The following is an 11,273-nucleotide window of genomic DNA, read 5'->3' on the forward strand; positions in this document are numbered from 1 at the left end:
TGGGCAACAGAGCGAGACTCCGTCTCAAAAAAAAAAAAAAAAAAAAAAAACAACACTTTAAAATGTCCACTGGATGTAATACTTGAAAGCCTTTCTGATACCTACTTTCCACTGTCAAACCAGAAGTGAATCTGTCCATGTGAGTTTTCATAGCATTATGTGTAGTCCTCTTTTAGGATAATTATCTTTTACTTTATATTTTACTTACATTTGTATATGGAAATATAATGAGCTTTGAAGTCCAAGGGACCTGGGTTCAAATTTCTGTCCCATCAAGAAAATCAACCTTTCTGAGTCTAGCTCATTCCTCTACATAAAGGGGATAGCAGTATTAAGTTACAGGAACATTTATGAGGATTAATGAAACAACTGGCACAGTGCTTGACACATAACCACTAAGTCCTAGTAGGTACTTGACAAATGTTGTTGGATAAATTGGAAAAAAAATTGTTTTTGCTAATATCTATACCTAGGATACTGTAATGAGCCTGAGAGAGGGTCACTACCCAGATTAATGGCCTCCAAAATAGTTTAGTTTCAGTTGGCTAATACCTATGAGCTTGAGTGCACACTCTAGCTCTCTCTCCCTTTATATTAAATCTAATTTAAGGTGAACAGGAATAGCTACATTCTAGATTCTAGAGTCTGAAGATCATGTTCAACTAAATGGCTTTGGTCAGCCTAAGCCTGCTCTAGATGTTCTATGTCACTAGTATCCCATTTTGAGTGGTGAGACTTCACACTCTAAAGGATCCAAGGAAGGGTCATAAAAATTGCAAAAACACCACTCCCACCCTCAAACATATTTTTTTTCCCATGGCTTACAGGACACCACACTTTTCAAGTTTTCCTTCAATCTATTTAACCACTTTTTTAAAAAAAAAAATTTATTTGCTACTTTTTTCCTATACCACCCCTTTAATTGAAGTTCACTTTGGTCCTAGACCTTCTTTTCATTCTATACTTTCTTTTCAAGGATGTTTAATTCCAATACATCACCTCAATTATTATTCATTATTTTCTTCAATAAATTATATGCTTATGTCTCTCATATCTCTGGGCAAGATGTCACCTTTGAACTCTTGGTCTGTATATCTCCCTGCTTAATCCATAGCTTTTCTTGGTAGACTCTCCAGTTCCCCCATCCCTATCCCACTACCACATGTGCACATACACAAACTGGTAATCATTCTCCAGCATCTCCTATCTGGATAGTCATGGTTGCACAGACCAGAAACCTACCTTACTACCCGTACCCAGTATTTTAAATTCCCATCTTTACCTCCTAAAGATCCCTCAAATCCATCTACTTCTGCCTTTATTACCCTTTGGCTCAAAAGATGGCTCAATTTATCATGTTCATTTCCCTAGACTACTGCAATTACCTTCTAACTGGTTCTCTTCCATTCTGCCACTTTAATTCTTACTTATCCTTCAAAGCTCATTTCAACAAAAAGTTGGGCCAGGCGCCGTGGCTCACACCTGTAATCCCAGCACTTTGGGAGGCCGAGGCGGGTGGATCACGAGGTCAGGAATTCAAGACCTGCCTGGCCAAGATGGTGAAACCCTGGCCGGGCGTGGTGGCTCACATCTGTAATCCCAGCACTTTGGGAGACCGAGGCGGGTGGATCACCTGAGGTCAGGAGTTCGTTCAAGACCAGCCTGGCCAACATGGTGAAACCCCATCTCTACTAAAAATAAAATAAAAATTTAGCCAGGCGTGGTGGTGTGCACCTGTAATCCCAGCTACCTGGGAGGCTGAGGCAGGAGAATTGCTTGAATCCAGTAGGCAGAGGCTGCAGTGAGGCAAAATCGTGCCACTGCACTCCAGCCCGGGCAACAGAGCAGGATTCGGTCTCAAAAAAAAAAAAAAAAAAAAAAAAAAAAGTCAGCTGGGCACGGTGGCTAACACCTGTAATCTCAGCACTTTGGGAAGCCAATGCGGGTGGATCACGAGGTCAGGAGTTCGAGACCAGCCTGGCCAAGATGGTGAAACCCTGTCTCTACTAAAAGTACAAAAATTAGCTGGGTGTGGTAGCGGGCACCTGTAATCCCAGCTACTCGGGAGGCTGAGGCAGGAGAATCAGTTGAACCCAGGAGGTGAAGGTTGCAGTGAGCTGAGATCGTGCCACTGCACTCCAGCCTGGCGACAGAGCGAGACTCCGTCTCAAAAAAAAGATGGTGAGATCCCGTCTCTACTAAAACTGCAAAAATTAGCCAGGTGCGGTGGCAGGCACCTGTAATCCCAGCTACTTGGGAGGCTGAGGCAGAAGAATTGCTTGAACCCAGGCAGCAGAGGTTGCAGTGAGACAAGATCGCGCCACTGCACTCCAGACTGGGTAACACAGCGAGATTCCGTCTCAGAAAAAAGAAAAAAGTTTTCCTTGATTTCCCAGACTAGTAACAGCTAAAATTGCTGAATGTACATTACATGCCAGGCACTCTAAGCAATGAAAATGTATTAACATACTTAATTTTCTTCTTCTTCTTTTTTTTTTTTTTTTGAGACAGGGTATCATTCTGTCACCCAAGCTGGAGGTGGCACCATCTCGGCTCACTGCAACCTCTGTCTCCCAGGCTCAAGCAATGCCTCTGCTTCAGCCTCCCAAGCAGCTGGGACAACAGGCACACGCCACCACACTCGGCTAGTTTTGCATTTTTGGTAGAGACGGGGTTTCGCCATGTTGCCCAGGCTGGTCTGGAACTCCTGGCCTCAAGTGATCGGCCTGCCTCAGATTCCCAAAGTGCTAGGATTACTTTGGCGTGAGCCACAGCTCCTGGCTTCTTATTTAATTTTCTTAACAAGACTAAAATAACTATCTCTATTTCACAGATGTGGAAACTGAGGCACAAAGAGATAATACCTTGCCCAATATCCTACAGCTAGTGAAAAGTAGTACCAGATGCAAATTTAGGCAGTGTAGCTCCAGAAGACACATTCTTAACCACCTTACTATACTATGCTCTAGGTTACATGCCCCATTATAAATTATCTTATAACTTCCAGTACTTCTCCTTTGTTGTAAAGATTGAATAACTGATTATATAATTGTTTGATGTCTACTCTCTCTCCCCCATTAGAATGCAAGTTCCACAAGGGTAAAGGCTTGTCTATGACTTGTCCATTACAGTATTCCCTTGGCTTATCAGGTGGTAATGGGCATTCAATGTATTTTTGTTGAAGGAATGCACTGAATTTCCAGTTGAAGGTGTGTGGGAGAGAGGTTTCTGAGCCAAAGCAATGGCTTCCCTCACTCAGACTGCATGACAACAAAAGGACAGTAGCACAGTTTCCTACCAGAAACATTCAGAAGTATCATAAAATCACAAGCACCTTCACTTTTTAGTAGCTGTAGCAGACACAGCTTTTACATAAAGCAAAAGGGGTTGTATGGCACTACACATAAAAGACTGTTTTCTAGAGTGAGGTACTCGCTGTTGACAGTAATGAAATGTTAGTTACCCCGTTAGGGTTAGGACTATAATGCCTCAGTGGTGACCAATTCCAGCTGTGGCAAGAAGTGAACGGATGACACTATATCCCTTTTTTTTTTTTTTTTGAGACAGGGTCTCCCCATGTTGCCCAGGTTTGAATGCAGTACCACGATCTCAGCTCACTGCAACCTCCTCCTCCAGAGTTCAAGTTATTCTCCCACTTCAGCCTCCTGAGTAGCTGGGAGTACAGGCACGCACCACCACGTCTAGCTAATTTTTGTATTTTTAGTAGAGACGGGGTTTAACCATATTGGTCAGGCTGCTCTCAAACTCCCAACCTCAGGTGATCAACTCGCCTCAGCCTCTCAAAGTGCTAGGATTACAGGCGTGAGCCACTGCGCCCGGCCGGATGACACTATATCCTTATGACTCAAAAATAGAGCATGGATTCTTTTTTTTTTTCTAAGTCAACCTCATTGTAGATTTTTTTTTTCCCAGTAAACCCCTCAAGTTTTGGTCTAAGTCTGAAGACAGAAAATAAGAGCCTAATCTTTGGGGAACATTAGACTTAGGTCAAGTTTGGACTGGATCTGGAGAAGTTGCTCTTCACTGGCTCATGGTCACTAAGGTGAAAATAATACTCTCTGTTCTAGATGAGAAATCTCTAACTGGGCCAATGTTCACCTTATACTACCACTTTTGCGATCCAACATAAGTAACAATGTATATTAATTTAGGTAACAGATTCATGTCCTCTTCATGCTCCCCCACATACATTCCTGCATGCCCTATTTTAACTGAGCCAAGTACACATAAATGTGTTCAGCCTAATAGAAATATATAAATATTTACTTAATAACCAGAGGCTATACGGAATTGTTTTCACTGCAACCATTATGCTAAAAGAGTATGTGTGGGAGGAGAAACATCATAAAGCACTGTTATTATCAGACTTGTGCCTAAAAACTGACCCCAGTGACATGGGATTCATGAAATTTTAATGGGCTAAACTGACTTGCATTGGCTAAAAAAGTGAATTATATGCAAGACTGACCAAGTCATTTTCCCCTGTACAGCTTAAAGTATTTCACATAATCTTATCTTCAAAATAACTAAGTTAAATAAAAGAAACAAACTATTTACTCTTTTTCCTTTTAACAGAGATACAAAGACGTAAATAAATCTTACATTCTCAAGGTTCTACAATTTTCAAAGGCACAGCTTTAACAGGCTACTGAATACCTACCTGTCTAGTGCTGTGGTCAAAGACAGTTTGCACACAGGGGTCAGCACTGAACTTTTTTTTTGTTTTTTGAGACACCGTCTTAGTCACCCAGGCTGGAGTGCAGTGGCTCAATCTCAGCTCACTGAAAGCTCCGCCTCCCAGATTCAAGCGATTCTCCTGCCTCAGCCTCCTGAGTAGCTGGGACTACAGGCGCGCGCCACTACACCTGGCTAATTTTTTTTTTTTAATTTTTAGTAGAGACGGGGGTTTTCATCATGTTGGTCAGGCTGGTCTCAAACTCCTGACCTCATGATCCACCCGCCTCGCCCTCCCAAAGTGCTGGGATTACAGGCGTGAGCCACCGCGCCTGGACCAGCACTGAACTTTTAAAAGGAGGAGGCTGGGCTGGGCACGGTGGCTCACGCCTGTAATCCCAGTACTTTGGGAGGCCGAGGCGGGCAGATCACGAGGTCAGGAGATCGAGACCATCCTGGCTAACAAGGTGAAACCCCATCTCTACTAAAAATACAAAAAATTAGCCGGGCGTGGTGGCGGGCGCCTGTAGTCCCAGCTACTCGGGAGGCTGAGGCAGGAGAATGGCGGGAACCCGGGAGGCGGAGCTTGCAGTGAGCCAAGACTGCGCCACTGCACTCCAGCCTGGGCGACAGAGCGAGACTTCATCGCAAAATAAATAAATAAAATAAAATAAAAGGAGGTTGGCTGGATAATAAATGGGGCTTTGAAGTCAGACCAGAGCTCCTCCTACTCTTGGTTGTGTTACCTAACCTCACAGTCTTTTTTTATTTTCCCTGTAAAATGAAACTAGCACCACATACATTTCAGTTATTCTTAAGATTAAAAGATAACATACAATGTTTGGCACATAGTAGGCAAATAAAAAGGAATTTATTATTCTCCATCCAATATCTTAAAACAGTACCACTGAAGGCTTCTCTCAAAGCAAAATTACTCCTCAGAGACTTGGCAGAGCTGATCTGTTAGGCAGAATGGAGGGATACCGAAATAGATGTAAAAGTTTCACAATTAGAATGGCAGGACTGCTGGGCAGGATGAAAGGACTCCAGTACTACCGTGCTGAGAAAGCAGCACAAGTCTTTAACATCATAACCATGAAACAGATTTCAACCAGCACTTGTGATCTAGAGTAACATCCCAGGTAATTCAACTAATCACTTTTATGTTTGTAGGAATATGTCAGTGTCTATTTCTTAAGTATTCAATTTACTTCACAATACCTGCTTGTGGTAACTTTTAGTTTCCAACTGACTAGACTGTCCCTTGGTAGTTCACATGCCCAGATCCAGCTTACTTAGCTTTTGACTCCAATGACTTTCAGGAGCGTAGTGAAAGGAAGTAACCACTGCCTACACTATATAGTTAAATTTTCATTTAAAAAAGCAGTCATATTTGTAAAACAGGCGAAAGCACTAAATTTTATAGGAGAATTGATATGCAAATTAAGGAAGAACTGACTAATGTGCCCCAGACCCAGGAAGGGGAGGAAAAACAAGAATGACTGAGTACTGAGTAGAAGAAATGAAAAATACTGAGTAAAAGTTCAATGTTTATGCAACTTGCTAGCCCCTATTCAAAAATCCACTAATTTGTGCAGCAGCAATAGAAAATGAAAAAAAAGATGAAAAAATTCAGAAATCCAGAAACATCTTACCATTAGTGCTGTTTACTTAGATAGATGTATATCTGATAAAATCATGTTCCATACACGAAATTCTGTTATGATTTGGGTGTATCTAAATAAGCAGCCAAACTATAGAAATCACTGGTTTCTTCCAGAACTAACCAAAAAGAAATTCCCATATCACTAATATGACAATGTACTTCTGAATAACCATATCCCAAAGAAATAATCCCCAAAGATATAGTGCATCCCCAAAGCATGTAGTGGAAGAAAAAAAGAAAGCAGGAAATTCCAAAGGTTTCTATAATAACACAAGAGACAATCTGAGAAACCTTAAACATTTTACAACTCTCAGCTGAGCACTGTGATATGGGCCGGCCTGTAACCCCAGCTACTTGGGAGGCTGAGATGGGAGGACTACTTGGGCCAAAAAGTTTGAGGTTGCAGTGAGCTATAATTGCACCACTGCACTCCAGCCTACATAACAAACACAGTAAGATCCTGTCTCTTAAAAAAAAACAAAAACAGAAAAAAAGAAAAAAAAAAGCGTAAGACCTTATAGCTGTTCAGTAGCCTTCTTCTCAAATAAAATTAAGAATTCAGTTACTATATATCCTTTATTGGAAAGCTACTGACATAGTCTTAGAAGAATTACAGACTCTGAAAACAAAAAGGTGTTATTAGGAAATTACTCATCACTGGAATATTGAGACACTACCCAAAGGATTGGCACTATCACATTTAAGGTGCTAACATACAAGGGAGCAATGAAGCACAGTCCTGGAAATTATCTGGTAATTTCAGTAGCATGCTATTTAATTGTCTTTTTAAAATGAAATAAACAACAAATAAAATGAAGTCATATACAATAAATATCTATGAAATATTAATATACAAAGGAAAGAAAATAAGGGATATTTCACTCCTTAAATGACAAGGTCAACCCTTTCTTAATAATTACACATAACAGTAAATCATAGTTCTGGAAACTCTTTCCAAACAAACTAGTGAGAATATACTACAGGAAAATCTGAATTTGAAGAGGTTAGAATGTTGTCTAAGATCCCTACACTGCTCCACTGCTTAAAATATATTCCTGGATCTTTCCCTGCTGAAGACTAATGTAAAAGTAATTATCGGCTGGGTGCGGTAGCTCACACCTGTAATCCCAGCTCTTAGGGAGGCAGAGGCAGGAGGATAGCTTGAGCCCAGGAGTTTGAGACCAGCCTGGCCAACATAGTGAAACCCCGACTCTACTAAAAATACAAAAAATTAGCCGGGCATGGTGGCACGCGCCTATAGTCCCAGCTACTCGGGGAGGCTGAGGCAGGAGAGTCACCTGAACCCGGGAGGCGGAGGTTGTGCTGAGCCGAGATCGCTCCATTGTACTCCAGCCTGGGCAACAGAGTGAGACTCTGTCTCAAAAAAAAAAAAAAAAAAAAAAAAAAAAAAGTAATTATCTATGCCAGGCTAATTTCTATCTATGCCTGCTGGAATTTTTATTATCCTGTACCATACAATTAATGGGTAGAAATTACGTGCTTTAAGTCTCCTGCTGCAACCTGAAGGCAACAAATAAGATATTTTGAAGTTGACCATTTTGCTTCATGTAACATTAACAAACTAAGGGCCTAGTGAAGGATGGAAACTATATAATTAATAATAAAAGGGCAAAAGAAATGTTACCTAGAGAACAGCTTAATGAGAAACGTCAGAGATTAAGATACTTTGTAGTTTAAACGTAAAACATTAAGTAACTACAAAGAGGTGGACTTATTTTACAATACAAATACAATGAAAACTTTAGAGTTTCATTTAAAGTTTACTCACCCACAAAACTGAGAGATTAAAGGAGAAAAAGGTTATCCAAGACAAAATCTAGAATGCAGTAAATGTTTTGTTGTTGTTTTGAGACAGAGTCTCGCTCTGTCACCAGGCTAGAGTGCAGTGGCACGATCTAGGCTCACTGCCATCTCCGCCTCCCTGGTTCAAGTGATTCTCCTGCCTCAGCCTCCCGAGTAGCTGGGCCTACAGGACCACGCCACCACGCCCAGCTAATTTTTGTATTTTTTTAAGTAGAGACGGGGTTTCACCATGTTGGCTAGGATGCCCGCCTTGGCCTCCCAAAGTGCTGGGATTACAGGCGTGAGCCACTGCACCCAGCCAGAATGCAATAAATGTTAAATAAACTTTAGGTAAAAGAAAACTTCAGGCCTGGTGTGGTGGCTCACGCTTGTAATCCTGGCACTTTGGGAGGCCGAGGCAGGCAGATCAGCCTGAGGTCAGGAGTTTGAGACAAGCCTGGCCAACATGGTGAAACCCTGTCTCTGCTAAAAATACAAAAAATTAGCCAGGCGTGGTGGCACACGCCTTAACCCCAGCTACTTGGGAAGCTAAAGCAGGAGAATCACTTGAACCCAGGAGGTGGAGGTTGCAGTAAGCCGAGATCGCGCCACTGCGCTCCAGCCTGGGAGACACAGGGAGACTTGTCTCAAAAGAAAAAAAAAAAAGAAAACTTCATACAACAATCCCATTACATAGAAATACAACTGTCAGCCGGGCGCAGTGGCTGACGCCTGTAATCCCAGCGATTTGGGTGGCCGAGACAGGCCGATCATGAGGTCAGGAGTTAAAGACCAGCCTGGCCAATATGGTGAAACCCTGTCTCTACTAAAAATACAAAAATTAGCCGGGCATGGTGGTGCGCGCCTGTAGTCCCAGCTACTCGGAAGGCTGAGGCAGAAGAATCACTTGAACTGGGAGGCAGAGCTTTCAGTGAGCAAAGATCGCACCACTGCATTCCTGCCTGGGTGACACAGCGAGACTCCATCTCAAAAAAAAAAAAAGAAAACAAAAAACAAAGAAATACAACTGTCAGGCTGGGTGTGGTGGCCCACACCTGTAATCCCAGCACTTCGGGAGGCCAAGGTGGGTGGATCACTTGAGCCGAGGAGTTCAAGACCAGCTGGGGCAAGATGGCAAGACCCCGTCTCTTAAGAAAGAAAGAAAGACAACTCTCATTTGGGTGCTAGGTACCAAAGAAAGACCACATCTTGAAAATTAGATACCCTAAAAGGTTTCAATTTTCACGAGGTCAGGAGTTAAAGACCAGCCTGGCCAATATGGTGAAACCCCGTCTCTACTAAAAATACAGAAATTACATTCCCTAAAAGGTTTCAGCTAAACAGAAGCAAAAGTGTACAACGTCAGTGAATTAAGTGAAAAGGAAAGTGAGCAAAATCACAGGAAGATGAAAAGATCACCAACTTGGTGAGACAAAAGAATAAAAGATCATAGATCATGTAAGAGGGGATATAAAAAGTTAAAGTGAGATAAGAAACATGATAGTCTGTCAATGAATCAAATGCTAAAGGTAAAATAGTAAATATTATACCACAATGGTCACAGTAATGTAAGGACAGGTCATGCGAAGACCTGCAGATCAAGGACTGGCTCAAATCCAACTCCAGAAGTAGAGAGATTCTAGAGGTGAAAGTGGAGACTCGAGAGAAATGTTTGTCTTCTGTTTTCCTCCCAAGTATTAGGCTCAATGTAAGCTCAGAAGATAGCTTAACTCTTCCAGAGCTGTAGACAAACAGTTCACTAAAGCATTTAGCATTCATCTGAATGTTACAGTCCTTTCACATATGAGAATATCAAATCTTATTTCTTCAGTAAGCAAACACAGTTTTGACACCCACAACTTAATCTTAAGTGGTAATTTTGCTTAGAAAAGTGGCTCATGCCTGTAATCCCAGCACTTCGGGAGGCCGAGGCGGGAGGATCACGAGGTCAGAAGTTCAAGACCAGCCTAGCCAATATGGTGAAACCCCGTCTCTACTAAAAATAAAAAAAAAAATTAGCCAAGCATGGTGGCGGGCGCCTGTAATCCCAGCTACTCGGAAGGCTCAGGCAGGAGAATTACTTGAACCTGGGAGGCGGAGGTTGCAGTGAGCCGAGATCCTGCCACTGCACTCCAGCCTGGGTGACAGAGCAAGACTCCGTCTCAAAAAAAAAGAAAAGAAAAGAAAAGAAAAGAAAAGAAAAGAAAAGAAAAGAAAAGAAAAGAAAACTGACAAAACCAAAAGAGCAGATGCACAGGACAGATCAAACATGGAGAATACAAAAACTGTTCAAGTACTCATACACTGTTCCATTATATCCCTTATCCCAATCCATTACTCCTTTGCTATCCTCTGGCTGTGTCGCCCAGGCCGGAATGCAGGGGCACGATCTTGGCTCACTGCAATCTCCACCTCCAGGGTTCAAGCGATTTTCATGCCTTGGCCTCCCATGTAGCTGGGACTACAGGCACGCGTCACCATGCCCGGCTAATTTTTTTTTGTATTTTTTGTACTTTTAGAGACGGGGTTTCACCATGTTGGTCAGGCTGGTCTCGAACTCCTGACTTCAAGTGATCCGTCCGCCTCCACCTCCCAAAGTGCTGAGATTACAAGCGTGAGCCACTATTTCAGTTTTAAACTTTCTCCTAAGCCTGTCTCTTCAAACTTGCCTACTCTCTCTTTGGCCAATATCTTTCACTTGCCTTCAGATCCACTGACACGCCTCTCTTGCAGCAGAAGGTCTTCTTACATGGAAAATGTTTTTCTTATCATAACTCTTTTTTTAAGGGTTGGGATAATTCCAAAGTACTTGAAATAAGTTTCTCATATCTTGCTCTATGAGGTTGACTAGAATTTGTTCTGAAACCTATTGGATGACCAATACAAAAGAAATTCCTAAGCAGAAGACACGATCTAATTAACTAACACAGGACACGATTCAAATCACAAACTCACTTTCGATATGTAATGTGCCCCACACCAGATGACTTCAGCATATGCTAACCTAGGCTGAGAATCCTTGACTGAGTCGACAAACTCAGAAAAGCATGGAGATGAAACGATCTGTAGACGCCGCTGTGATGGTAGGATGCAGCAGACACTGATAAGG

General features: G+C 42.1%; 1 protein-coding gene across 1 annotated transcript in view, besides 1 other annotated feature; it reads right to left on the reverse strand.

Annotated features, from left to right (window-relative positions):
• CHD8 (chromodomain helicase DNA binding protein 8) overlaps positions 1 to 11,273 on the reverse strand; it is a 70,925-nt gene that overhangs the window by 58,631 nt on the left and 1,021 nt on the right. The window lies entirely within an intron of this gene.
• Positions 8,467 to 8,966: an enhancer, noted in NCBI's record as "H3K4me1 hESC enhancer chr14:21920455-21920954 (GRCh37/hg19 assembly coordinates)". NCBI's record gives its function as "activates a minimal SCP1, AML or CMV promoter by ChIP-STARR-seq in primed H9 embryonic stem cells {active_cell/tissue: H9 hESC(primed)}" and the evidence as "EXISTENCE:reporter gene assay evidence [ECO:0000049][PMID:30033119]".

This window comes from Homo sapiens, chromosome 14 (assembly GCF_000001405.40).
Source record: "Homo sapiens chromosome 14, GRCh38.p14 Primary Assembly".
NCBI classification, from domain to species: domain Eukaryota; kingdom Metazoa; phylum Chordata; class Mammalia; order Primates; family Hominidae; genus Homo; species Homo sapiens.